Genomic DNA, 14,643 nt, shown 5'->3' with positions numbered 1-14,643 from the left:
CCTCATGTGTAAAACAGTAAGTCATAATATATAGTTGTTGGGATGATTAAGTGGAATAAGGTATGTAAAGTGGTTTAAATAATTCTTGGTGCATACCCATTGCTCAGTAAATGCTCCTTATGATCCATTGTTGAGTAACATTGGGAAATATGGTGTTGTCACTAACAGGAAGTTACCACAAAAATCACATATGGATTACAAGTTTTCAAAGTTTTAAAAGCCCATAATTCATTAATCATGAACCATCAGAATGGACACAATTTCACCTGCCCTTGAGATTTAGAAGCTCTTCCAGGTTCTGTAATATCTTGAAACATTTTTAAGAGCATTAAGGAATCAATCAAAGTTCCAGCAGAAAAAGAGATGTTCATGAAGGGACCGCTTCAAGATGTGTGGGCAAGGTTAAAGGAACCAGCAAGAGACTCTGAGATGCCCTGGGACTAGCAATAGTCAGAAGCTACTATTAGAGGGACTTGGTGGGCAGACAGCGGTGGCAGTGTTACTGGAACCCAGGGAGAGCTGGAGCTTTGCAGGAAGGGCGGCTAGGAGGGCCTGTAGACAGAGGGTACACCATGGGTTCCTCCTGTCTTCTAGTCTCCTACTGGTGCTTTCCATTGGCTGAAAGAAGGTGAGCTGGGCCAAGAAACCTGAATGAAACAATCCACATGTGGGCTGGTCTCCTGGTACATAGCAGAGCAGAAAGACCTGGGGATGTAAAGGAGAATGGATACCATATTCACTAACTCTTGTTTCACAAATAGGGAGTGTGCCAGTTAATGGAGTGCTTGATTGGATAAAACATCCAAATAAACCAACTTTGCCCATAATACGATTATTTCTTTCATTCATTCCTTATGTCCTATAGTGACATAAGCAGCAGTCAAAATGGCAGCTTTCAAAGAAGCAGGAAAGTATTAGCATATAAGGTCTGATCCAGAGGTTGGGGTGTGGTATTCAGAGTAGATCACACACTAGCCCTGGTTCCTGGTTGTCATCCACTTTGGAGCTGAGCCATAACAGTTGGAATATAGTATTATTGGTTCTACAACTTAACTGTGCATTGGAATCACCTGGGTAGATTTTTAAATTGCTGATGCATTGGTTCCCCGCCACCCCCACACAGTTTCCAAATTAATTGGTTTGGAGATCCCCAGGTGGTTTCGATGCAAGAAAAGTTTGAGAATTACTAGTATATATGTTGACATCACCTGGGAATCTCCAGGCCAATTAAATGTGTGTGTATTATACAGGATTTCACTAAACTACAGCAAGATAGAGCTGGCACAGGCTAGAACAGTACTGTCCCCATGTGGCTATTTAAATTTAAATTTAAAATTCCATTCTTCAGTCCCACTAGCCACATTTCAAGTGCTGAATACCTACATGTGGCTAGTTTGGACCATGAAGAACATCATGGAAAGTTCTATCACACAGCACTAGGACAGTGACAAACCCCTCAAGCTGAGTGGACTGGGGCAAAAGACAATGAGGCATACAAACCGAGAAATCAGAAAACAGCCTCACAAACTGGACACTCACACTGGGGAAAAGGAACAGCTATAGAGGACACGCAGCATTTGGCACTGGAAGATGTAGCTGAGATCTACGCTTCTGTGGCAAATCAGGCAGGATTTGCTCATGCTCTGTGTGGATGGAGCCAGCAGCTTGAAGGTACTGAGGAGGCCAACGAAGGAAGGGGAAGACCCAGAACATATTAGCACTTGAGACCTCTCTGATGGTGCCTACGGGGGATACTCATTTCATTTACTTCTGAGCCACATTCCTAAGCAAGGATGCAACCCTGCTGTCTGCTTTGAATAGCATAAGTACCAGGCTATGTCTACTGGTGAAACGAATGTCTAGCTCTAGGTTCTCCGGCATGTTCATCCCAGGGGATCCATAAGCAGAACCCAGTGTGCCAGAGGCCCTGTTACTTGAGAACCAGGTTAACTGCATGGCAGGAGGATGAAGGCAGGGTTCAATGGATTGAAAGTGGGAGAAAGACACTTGTCATGCTGGATCACTCGTTCAGTTTAATCTGGAGTATTTGAAGGTTTTACTGCTTGATGGGTGAAGAGTGCTTTTTTGGAGATATATCCATTAAGTGGTGCTGCCAGTCTGGATGTTTCTTAAGTAGAATGGTGTATTTGTTTACCAGGGTTGCCATAGCAAAGTACCATAAACTGGGTGGCTTAAACAACAGAAATTTATTCCTTCACAGTTCTGGAGGCTAGAAGTCCAAGATCAAGACATCAGAATGTCAGCAGAACTGGTTCTCTCTGGGGTTACTAGGAAGAAATTGCTTAATGCTCCTCTCCTGGCTTTTGGTAGTTTTGCTGGAAATCTTTGGCATTTCTTGGCTTGTGCTGAGGAACAAGAGATTGCACCACTCTGCTCTCTTCCTTTGTGTTCACATGGCATTCTCCCTGTGTTCATGTCTGTGTCAAAATTTCCCATTTTTATAAGGACATTAGTCATATCAAATCAGAAACCGACCATACTCCAGTATGACCTTATCCTAAGTTAATTACTTCTGCCACAATCCTATTTCCATATGAAGTCACATTCTAAGATACTGGTATATGAATTTTGAGGGATAAAACTCAACCTATAACAAATGACATAGTATAATAAAAAGAGCATATATTCTAGAGTGAGAAAGACTGGAGTTGAGTCTTACCTTTGCCACTACTTTTCTGATACACAGTTTTATTTTATCATTTGCAAAGTTAGAATGATATATTTAATAGGATCATTTGTAAAATTATAAATCAGTGTTAAAATGAACCATTATTTTTATGTTTCCCTAGGAAAGAAAAAAATTGTTTCCAATTATACTATGACATATCAATTATAATATGCATCCCAATTTCAAAGATATTCCAATTAAACAATATATCATCAATTACAACATGCATCCCAATTTCAGAGATATTCCAATTAAACAATGGTATATCATTAATTATAACATGCACTCCAATTTCAAATATATTCCAATTAAACAATGGCATATAATTAAAACACACATACCAATTTCAAATATATCAAACTGTGAAATAAAAGTATGTTTTAAAGTTGATGAGGGTAAGGCTTGAAGAAGATAACATGTAAGTGCCTTCTGCCTGAGCAGAAAAGTTACCATCACTGTCGGTCACCACCTAATTTGCCATCCATTTCAAGAAGGAATTTAATAATTTACTAGGCAGGAGGCAGCTTCCACCCAAGTTGTTAAGGAGAAACAAAGGCTGTCAAATACTCAGGCATTTTTTTAGTCCTAGGAACTAGTGAGCAGGAACCCCTGGTCCATGTGGCAGATCAGCCAGACAGCCAGAAATGATGCAACCTCAGTATGTAGACATATCACACAGAAATGGCACAAATCAATTCAAGTTTCCACATGAGACTTTTTACACAACCAGCAAACTGTTAAGGAGTTTTAATCCTAACAAAGTAGAAAATCCATTTAAATTGAAAATTAAAACCATGTCTCATCAGCACCAACCTATCTCTCTCTGTTGAGTGATTTTGAGATCTGCAACTTGTTTGTTGCAGCTACAGAACAAGCCACTAACTCTGAGGCCAGTCACTTAAAATCAGCAGTCACAAGCAGCTGAAATCCTGAAATTGAATAATGCTATTTCTGGTGGCTTGGTGATTCATTTTATTATCTAACTTTTGTGTGGTTTAATATGTCTCCTTGGAAGTTACATGGTTTGAAAAATTGCCTGTAATAAATCCTTTATTTTTAAACATAAAGCCATTCTTTATTCAGAGAAAATTAGTTTCTCCCTACCCTCACTAAATAAATATTGACAAAATATTTAAAGAATATCAGTTTGAAGGAATACCTAATTATAAGCCTGCCCTGAGGGCCTCTTGTCTCTCTCTGGCCTATGATGTCATTCTTTACCAAGACCTATTACCCATGGGATGATAAGGGCCTGAATTTCTCCAGGAAACCTTAGAGCATTCAGTGACTGACAATAATTTTGGCTTTTGCCTTCACCTCCTCCCCACTGATAGCATCACACGATTTAGCTCTCACCTCTCCCGCAACTTTGCCTGTGGCAGTTCCAGCCCTTGGAAGTCCCAGAGAATAGATGGCCATTGTACAAATAGTCTTGAATTGTTTGTTGATGACACATTGCCCCGCACACAAGCCAATTTTTTTTTTTTTTTTTTTTTTTTTGAGGCTCTGTTGCCCAGGCTGGAGTGCAGTGGCCTGATCTCTGTTCACTGCAAGCTCCGCCTCCCGGGTTCACGCCATTCTCCCGCCTCAGCCTCCCGAGTAGCTGGGACTACAGGCGCCTGCCACCACGACCGGCTAATTTTTTTTTTTGTAAGTAGAGACGGGGTTTCACCATGTTAGCCAGGATGGTCTCCATCTCCTGACCTCGTGATCCGCCCGCCTCGGCCTCCCAAAGTGCTGGGATTATAGGCGTGAGCCACTGCGCCCGGCCACACAATCCAATTTCTATGGGCAGTGTTTAGGGCCCCCACTGTATCTCAAATATGTCCAGTGGATAAATCAGATCTCCAGAGACACAACTGCAGCCTCAATCATTGACTTTCCCTATCAGTTCCACATTTTATGTTTGTCGTCTGGATGATGCATTACTTTGAGCAACAGTGTTTATGAAAAAATGCTTCAAATTTGCATAACTATATAGCATAGAGGTTAAACACACAGGTTCTGGAGCTTAACTACATAGGTTCACATCCCACCTCTGCTACCTACAAGTTGTGTAAAATCGGAAAAGTTATGGCGGTCTCTCTATCTCCCAGTAAGAGAGGATAATAACAGTACCTACCTCATATTGTTATAAGAATGAAAACAGAGTGCTTGTCAAAAGATTTGAAAAGCTGCTTCATCAAAGAAGATACACAGGTGGCAAGTAAGCATACGAAAAGAGCCTCAGCATCATTAGTTTTAGGAAAACGAAAATTAAAACCACAATGAGAGACCACTCCACACCTACTAGAACTTAAAAAGTTAAGCAAAAATCTCTTTCACTCCTACATATTTACCCAAAAGAAGAGGAAATACATGCCCATACAAAGGATTGTACATGAATATGTCATGCAGTTTTATATGTAATAGCCAAAAACTGTAAACAATTCAAATGTCCATCTGTAATTGACTGGGGGCAATAAAAGGATAAACTACTGATAGGACCACATGAATAAATCTCAAAATAATTGCGTGAAAGATTAAAGACAATAAAAGACCACAGATTATGATATACATTTATATAATATTATAAAGAATACAAACTAGACTGTAGTCTCAGAAAGCAGATCAGTAGTTTCTTGGGAATGGAAGGAGGGAAGGTTGAGAGGATGAGGATACATAGGAGTAAGAGAAAAATTTGGGTGCATGGATATGCTCACTCTCTTGATTGTGGTGATGTTTTCACAAGTATATATGTGTCAAAACATATTGAATTGTATACTTTAAATAGATATATACTTTAAATAGATGTGGTTTATTATATGCAAATTATGCCTCAATAATGCTGTTTTTTTTAAATGAGCACCATGATAGCAGGCCTTCCAAAAGTGTTAGTTGTTATTGACTTTATTATTAGACTGAAAAATGTTTTAGATTTTTTTTTCTTTTTTTTGAGACGGAGTCTTGCTCTGTCGCCCAGGCTGGAGTGCAGTGGCGGGGTTTCACCATGTTAGGCAGGATGGTCTTGATTTCCTGACTTTGTGATCCACCCTCCTCGGCCTCCAAAAGTGCTGGGATTACAGGCTTGAGCCACTGCGCCTGGCCGTGTTTTAGATATTTTTAAAAGCTTCTCATGAGAAGCAATATTCAATGGTTGAGTCTCTCACCATCACACCATAATCTAGCTGCCTTTTTCCTTTCTAAGGATGCTCATGAATTGAGGAAAGTAGTCCAGACTTTGAGGTCAGAAGGCATGAGTTCAAGTGCCCACTCTGACATTCAATACCTTGTGCTGATATTTAACCTTGAGTTTTCTCATTTGTAAAATAGTATACAACTATATCACATGATAGCCATAAGAATCAAATTTTAAAAATGGATGTGAGCATGTTCTGTAAACAATAAAGCAATGTGAATTTATCAGTCATCACGATTAGGGAAGAGAGAAGATAAGCATTCACATTTTTGCAGACTGGATAACAGAGGGTAAGCAAGATTAAAATAAAACTTGACCTCACACAAGAGCATGAGATAGACTCTACATCTCCTCATTTCCCCTAGGACTGATGTTCCCACACCAGAATTCTCTAGAACACTTTTTTAGAGATTTCTGGGTCCTACCATATACTCACTAAATCAGAATGACCTGGGGTTAGGAAACAGGAATCTGAGTTTTAAAGAAAGCCCCCCCGCCCCCCCCAGTTGATTAGGATGCAGCTGGTAGCACCAGTAAGTGAATGATCTTTTGGGAAAAACTGCCTTGACCCTGATGCCTCTCAATGAGAAATGAACAATCCTAGGCCCTGTTGCTCATGTGAAACCTGGATTAGGCACCAGAAAAAAATAATGCATCTTCCATAATAACTGGAAATGCATAATATTTTAAAACATCTTTCAAATATGCATTTATTATTGCAAGCACTTCGCTTATTGTCATTTTCCTGCTTTTCCTGAGCAGTTATATTCAGGATTCTTAGTGGCTTTCTGATTATCCTTGGAAATCGTCTGTCTTGCTAATACAAATGTTTATCACTTAATGTCTTTCCATCTTGTCATTTCGCTCAAAAAACCAAGTCACTCAGTGCTGGCAGCTTACCTTGTATAGTGTGTATGAGGTGTGTGGCTTGATGCCAACATGAACTTTATAAGGGAATGCCACTGGAAAATCAAGAAGTTAGAAGAAAAGTACCAGAATTGGTGCACATCACTTATTTGTGCCCTTTGGGGCAGTTAAAGGAGAATAACAAAGACTAGAGTTTCCATCACCTGTCTTCTATCATCTAAACCTATTCAGCACTCTCTTCCAGCAACAAGGAGAGCAGGTGCCCTTTTTGTGTCTTGAGGATGTCAAATGCACCCACAGCATACTTCTTGGGGTTATTTCCAAATCCTCTATCAAAAGATACAATATAAATATAATTAAATCTCTTATATGGCTCATTATTTCATGAATTTGGACCAGATGTTGCAAAAATGCCTCTAGGGGCCAGGAAGAGAAATTAAATGAAGGAGAAAGGCCTGGAAGTTGCTGTGAGAAGTGAAGAGTAAATGCTTTGTCTAAATGGGACAGTCTCCAATTGTTGCCATGAAGAAATGTGGCCCAAGGTTGCCAGATATTCCAAGTTTTTCTAAAGGAAGGGTAATAAAAACAGCTACCTTATTAAGTGGGAAAATGAAGGGAAAAATACTTTGAGTAGGACAAATAAAGTACCTTCAAGTCAGCTTATCCCTGCAGACTACCAGTTTATGATCTCTAATTTCTATTATTCAAAACTATTATCCCTGAACAACAGAAAAATTATGCTGATATAGTAAATTCTTGTACCTGCACAAATGGCCAGTGGCATAATCAGTCCCATCACCCTCTGAATGAACATCATATAAGAATATAAAATTTAGCTCAAATAGAAGCTGGGTCTTCCTGGGGAAGCTGGAACAGGCAGATAACCTTTGGTCAGAACAGTAACTTGTAAAATTCTAGTCAGCAATGGGCTGGAGATTGGTTTTCTGTATGCCTATTTATTGGATGGGGACATAATCAGAATCATACTCTTCTCCTTGCAACCCGGATTGTCCATCCAACCAATAATGGCAGGTAGTGTTCCTTAAAGGACAATTTTCTCTCACATACATCCCTGCATAGGAAGGGCTAGGGCTGGAGACAAAGCACTGAACTGAAGAATGTTAGGGGTGGCTAGAACAAATATCAGATTTTCTTTGCTAGGCAACATGGACATGCATAATATGGTTAAGAACTGCTTTCCCTTTATTGAGAGACTATTTTCCTTTACTCATATGAAAGTGAGATAAATGCTTTTCATAGTTTGTGCTAACAAATGTCAGAAAACATCCAATAAACCATATTTCTATTTGAAAGCTGACAGTACATAGAGGTTCCAGTTGATTTGTAAAATAGGAAGGATGGGTATCTCTAGTACAGGGATGCTATAGAATCTTGGGTTATCTATAACTTAGTCTTTAAAAGCTTCCCAAAATATAAATGGTTTTGTATATTTTTACTTGTGACAAGTATGTAGGAAAAGAGCCTTAGCGATAAGGATCCTAGTAGAAAACAGATGGCATACCCAAACAGTTTAACCTAAAGGACTAAACTCTGTACACGGGAATGGGCAGGGTTAAAAGAGCCAAGAAAGAAAGTGAGGCATCCGAGACATCAGAGATAGCAACAACAGGAAGCCATTACTACCCCTCAATGTGAAGGGACAAGAGAGAGGCACTATGTTACCAAATCCCAGCAAAAGCTCCCTGTGCAGAAGGAAGTCTGCTAGCAGAATGTGTGTGTATAGAGGCATGCCTGCACCTCTCTGTTCTCCCATTCTCTGATCTCCTGCGAAGTCCTCCATTTGGCTGACTCCAACCAGAACCCAGAGGGCAAGGGTGCCAGGAAAATCAATCCATAGACATCAGTCTCCTATGTCACAGAATAGTGCAGAAAGTGGCAGAGATGTATTAATATCTGAGAGAGGGGGACAACTGAAAAACTATTATCACAGAAGACAAAGGAAATCATAGCTCATGGAATGTTAGAGCAGAAAGGAACTTTTCAACCTCTAATCTAATTTTCATTTTGTTGATGAGAAAACTGAGGCCCAGGGAATTGAAATGAATGGGTGAACATTATACACTTAATAAAGGGCATACTCGAGACCAAAGGCAGTTATTGTCTTATCTATTCTCATGGTTTTTCTACTTCATTATGCTGGAAATCATGGATTAGGAAACTTAGAGTTGGCTAAAATGAGACACCTACATAGCACTTTCTCCATTACTGTGCCCACCAGACATCACTAATCAATTACAGATTTCTTTCCTCCTGAGCCTAGATGTGACCTCAGGCACATTAGGCAGGACAAGGTTGAATCAATCATGAAATGCATCAATCAATCATTTATGCACCTGCATAAACCCAGTGTACTCAAAAATTTTTACTGTTCATAATGTTCACCCACTCATTTCAATTCCCTGGACCTCAGTTTTCCCATCAACAAAATGACATAATGATATAATGATACAATTTTGTATAATGCAAACTCATACAATGAGCTCTAAATCTTCAAGTTATTTACATGTCTAACATTATTTTCTTCCCTAAAACTCGTCTCATTCTCTGAAGGTATTGCCTGTACTTTGTACTTTTGGACTGCCCACCCAATGACTTGCTGGGGAGCATTTATGGTTGGGAAGAAGGGAAGTGCTCTGAGATGAATTTTCTTGAACGGTAATAATAAAAATAATCCTTATCTCTGATAGGTTTTCTCTTTCTCCTTGCAGGTTGACAGGACTGAGGTGATTCGCACCTGCATAAACCCAGTGTACTCAAAACTGTTTACTGTGGACTTTTACTTTGAGGAGGTGCAGCGCCTGCGGTTTGAAGTCCATGACATCAGCAGCAACCACAATGGGCTGAAGGAGGCCGACTTCCTTGGTGGCATGGAGTGCACACTTGGCCAGGTGGGTCAACAGACATCCCTTCCTCCTCCTTGCCATCCTAGGGCCTTTCTTCCTGCCCCCTTTCCCTCTCTTCCTTCATCTAATCCTTGCTTTTTCCTATTGATTGTATTTTCTTTAACATGCAGCATTTTACAACTTCCCAGGTGGTGTCATATCCATTATGTTTATGTAGAGATGATTCTGCAAGTCTGTACGATTTCTTATTTTGAAAAATTCAGAACTTTCTCTTCTGAATTCCCCCACTGTGTCACTCATTTATTCAACAACTATTATTGAGCACTTATGTGTCTGGCACTATGCTCTTTTCACATGTCTGTTATAGCCTTATCCTGTTTCACTATAAATTTCCATCTCCAACTCAGCTGTGAGAACCCCTATGCAGCAAGTATTTCTCATTCACATTTAGTCGACATCTCTGGTACCAAAAATAGCCCAAGGCAGAGGCTAAATGGATACTCAGTGAATGAATAAAAGCTCTTAATTTTCCAACAATAATATGAAATAAATATCAGTATTATATCCATTTTATCAGTGAGAAACCTGAGACTCAGAGAGGTTAAGTGATTTGATGAAGGCTCTACCTAATAAGTAGCAGTGTTAGGACTCTACTAGGTCTTCCTGACTCTAAACTTCATCATTTTGCTTCTGTAATACTTTTCCTTTTTTCCTTTCCTTTTTGTTGTACCCAGAAATGCAGTAAGTGAGTCAAAAAGTAAAAACAGTCCCTGTGCCCAGATAGTGGATAATCTTACTGGAGAAGGCATAGTAATATGCACTTCAAATAGAGCAGTTCATTACAAAATACCCTGGGCTCTCTATACAAGGTCGTAGACCTTAAAGGAAGAGAGAGCTTTTTTCTACTGGGTAGAGTCAAAGAAGGCATTGTGGCACCAAAATCTGAAAAAAACATTATCTAGGGATTGCAGAAGAAAGAGGAGGGGAGACTTCCAAGTAAGAAAGCAATATAAGCAACTCATAGGGGTCAGAACAAACGTGGGGGGGTATGGGGTGGGAAGAGACCACTTTCCCTGACTGAATCAAGATGCTGATTTACTGTGAAATTGATGAAGCTTTAACATCAGATCCCCTCTCTCATGTGGGCCCCTTCCATGGCTCTGTGTCACATTTTTATTTTGTACTTTTTTTCTCAAAGAGAGATTCCAAATTATATGTCTTAAGACCCACAAAATCTGGGTTCACCTCCTGTCAAGGTAAGGGTCAGGTTTAAGGATTTGTCAGGAAGAGTCTACCTGACAAAGAGATGGCAAGCATATATATTTGCTTGTTCATTTGTGCTTACCTTGCTTCATGCCACTTATCACTAAAAGAAATTTCTCCCAGTGAGCACTAAGAGACAAAATAGACAGTGTCCTCTGTTCCCCTTTTCCAGAAAATATAGTGATTAATTTTCTTATTCCTTTAATGAAAGTCAAAAGCCCAATACTGAAATACAGTTGAGGGGAGACAGAAAGAGAATCTGAAATATTCTCCATTAACATATGTTCTCTAATGACTTTTGAAGAGTTGATGGCAGATAGTTCAAAGGATCTTGCCAGGTACAATGTCCACTAAGTAGGTATTAAATGAATAAATGCATTGTGGATTTGAGATGAAATCCTGTTTCTATTTAAAAATGATTAAAATGGCATCTTTTATAGACATGTAAGCCATGCCAAGATTCTCCCTTAAACAATGGGCATCCCTCCTATGCATAAATTTTATATTTTGTCACAAGAAATAAAGGTAGATCCGGCCAGGCGCGGTGGCTCACACCAGTAATCCTAGCACTTTGGGAAGCCAAGGAGGGCAGATCACGAGGCCAGGAGATCGAGACCATCCTGGATAACACGGTGAAACCCCGTCTCTACTAAAAATACAAAAAAATAGCCGGGTGTGGTGGCAGGTGCCTATAGTCCCAGCTACTCGTGAGGCTGAGGCAGGAGGATGGCGTGAACCCGGAAGGCGGAGCTTGCAGTGAGCCGAGATCGTGCCAGTGCGCTCCAGCCTGGGTGACAGAGCAAGACTCCGTCTCAAAAAAAAAAAAAAAGGTAGATCCGTGTGGGAATCATGTGGACTAAAGATCTTTTTTTTTTTTTTTTTTTGGTCCAAAGCTTTGATAATTTTATCTGTTTGAATGACCCTCAAACTCAAATCTTTAGTCCCTCACAAGGCTCATCTTTCCAAAAGCCAGTAAGTCCTTAACCTTGCAAGTAAGACAGGCATTATGCTAGGTGCCAGTGACACTGTGGTGAGCCAAAAAACATAATCCTTGCCTTCAAGCAGCAGTTTAGTTGGGGATAAAGATGGAATGAAAATAATTACACAACAATTAATTAAATGGCGATTATCATAAGCTTTGTTACAGAGAAGTACAGAATAAGAGAGCAAGCATTGGGAGACTGGCATCAGGCAGAGAGAGGGATCAAATAAGGCTTTCTAAGAGAAGTGACATTTATACTGACTTGAAGGGAGAGTGAGAGTGCATCAGGTGAGAAGAAAGAGAAACACATTCTAAGCAGATGGGAACATTATACACAAAGCCTCTGTATTCAGGAAGGAGTTTGGCATATGGTGCAGAGCATCTTCATTTGGTTTTTCCAAGAAGCCAAATCTGAGGTAAGAAGTCAAAGGAGGTGAAGGAAACGCCATAGTGGAGAGGAAAAGTGAGACAGGATAAGCAGCCTACAAGGGAAAGTGGTCAAGTAGATACCACCGTACGTAACTGGAGCTTAACTCTGCTGGGGAAATTCTGAGAGCAGTGTAATGCAAACATTACAGATATTTCATCCTGTGGATGAGGGAACTGGGACATTTATACACTTTGTGTATATATACTCACATCAGCCATGAAGAACCATTCCTAGCCGGGCGCGGTGGCTCACGCCTGTAATCCCAGCACTTTGGGAAGCCGAGGCAGGCGGATCACAAGGTCAGGAGATCGAGACCATCCTGGCTAACACGGTGAAACCCCATCTCTACTAAAAATGCAAAAAATTAGCTGGGCGTGGTGGTGCATGCCTGTAGTCCCAGCTACTCGGGAGGCTGAGGCAGGAGAATCACTTGAACCCAGGAGGCAGAGGTTGCATTGAGCCGAGATCATGCCACTGCACTCCAGCCTGGGTGACAGTGAGACTCCGTCTCAAAAAAAAAAAAAAAAAAAACCCATTCCTGTTCCTAAGGTGGGAACATTAATCCTCCAGTCCTCCAACATTTCTGGCCTACTGTGCAGGTAGCAAACTCCAAATATCACAAAGAGCTTGCAAGCAAAGAAATACAGATGCCGGTGGTCAAAGTCAGTGATGGGCACTCAAGTCATAGGGCCTGGGAACATGAGTGGGGAGCTGACAGCATCTGTGGATTGCCTATTTAATACCCAATCACCCACTCTTGTAGCTGTTGACTCTGATCACTTTCTGATCATTTTATACCATCTGTCTATGTAGAAAAGAGCCCTATCCCTAGCTCAAGAGTGAATCCTGAGTGATCTCAGCTAATCACATGAATCTCATCACCCACTTGCAAGAGTTTGGTTTAGAGGTAGGCGTGTGTCCAGTAAGACATGTGGATTTTTCTTGGAAAGGTTTCCTAGCCTAAAACAAGAGACACGCATGAAGAAACAGTTCTTCTTTGCCTGTGATTCCTGGAACCACTACAGCCATCTTGCAGCAAGGCTGAGGATGAGAGTGACCCTTAGGGGAGGTCAGACCCAAAAGATGTGGAGGGATGGGCCTGACATTCTTTACCTGGGACCCACTCTATCTATGGATGCCTTATTATGGGAAAATAAAATGTCCTGTCATTGAAGCTGTTTGACATGGGAATTTTTATTCCTTGAACTGAAAATATCATGATGGAGATAGCACATATGAGGAACTAAAAAGAAGGACAGGCTGGCTGGAGTGGGGTGAACAAAGGGAAACTAGGGGGTTGTGTTGGATTAATTTTCTTAATCTTTCAAAAGAAGGAATGTGTGGAAGTGAGCACTGAGAATGAGATTACAAATAGTCCTTTCAAGATACGTTTTTGGTACTTTTGAAAGAACTTATATACTGATCATTTCATTTGACCCTCTTGACAGCCTGGGAAGGACAGGAATCATTATCTACATTTTATAACTGAGGAAACTGAAGATCAGAAAGATTTAATGTCTTGACAGGGCCTAAACTGGAAGTCAGGAGCTTTTGATTCTTAATCCAGAGCTTGCTTCTGTCATGACCTAGGGAAGGATGAGAGGAGGTCACCTGTTCTGAGAACTCCTTCAAGATCATGGCCTAGATGAAGCAAATGAGCAGCAAGTGACTTGTTCAGTGTATCTCTAAACCATGTTTCCCAAACTGTACTGATCCACTTTGAGGTGACATGCTGGCCTCTCTGGATATCTCGCATGTTCTTTGGCAACCACCCTCTCATATTGTCAGCCAGGTGATTGGTGGGGTTGGCCTTTCCCACACTTTTGGGTAGGCACAGAATATTACATTTGTGTGGCCACAGTGATTGGCTCAAGGAAAGACATGATGACTCCTTTAACACTATAGATTTCATTCATTCGTTTATTTCTTCTTTTAATGACATAGCAATTGCATGCCAAGCTTTCATAACAAACGTTTAGCAAGCACCCTGGATATGCCAAGTATACCTGGCTGGGTGCTGGAGACACAAAGATGAAAAAGGAAGACAGAGGCCCTGCCTCAGAAAAGCTTATAATTATCTGAGAAACACAGACTGGTAAATAAATACTCAAAATGCATATTACTAAGCACTACAATAGAAATGTGAATCCAAGGGCTGTAGGGGAAAGACCTCTACCTAAAGTGAAGCAGGGGAGTCTCACAGGAAAGGTGTCTCTGGATCTGAATCCCTAAGGATAAGTAGGAATTCACCAACAGAGAAAAGAAATAAGGACTCTTGGGACAAAATGACTGGTACACGCAAAGACACAGCAGCATGAAGGGAACGACAGAGAACTCTTAAGTGACTTAGCGTGGGTGAGCGGTCAAGTG

General features: G+C 40.7%; 1 protein-coding gene across 9 annotated transcripts in view; it reads left to right on the top strand.

Annotated features, from left to right (window-relative positions):
* CPNE4 (copine 4) overlaps nt 1-14,643 on the top strand; it is a 506,038-nt gene that overhangs the window by 306,518 nt on the left and 184,877 nt on the right. For all 9 annotated transcript variants that reach the window (NM_153429.2, NM_001388326.1, NM_001289112.2 and 6 more), the window contains one exon: nt 9,464-9,643. In NM_153429.2, the coding sequence (NP_702907.1) occupies nt 9,464-9,643 (180 nt within the window). The remainder of the gene's footprint in view (nt 1-9,463; nt 9,644-14,643) is intronic.

Source organism: Homo sapiens, chromosome 3 (assembly GCF_000001405.40).
Source record: "Homo sapiens chromosome 3, GRCh38.p14 Primary Assembly".
Taxonomy (NCBI): domain Eukaryota; kingdom Metazoa; phylum Chordata; class Mammalia; order Primates; family Hominidae; genus Homo; species Homo sapiens.
This window is presented reverse-complemented; position numbering and strand designations above follow the sequence as displayed.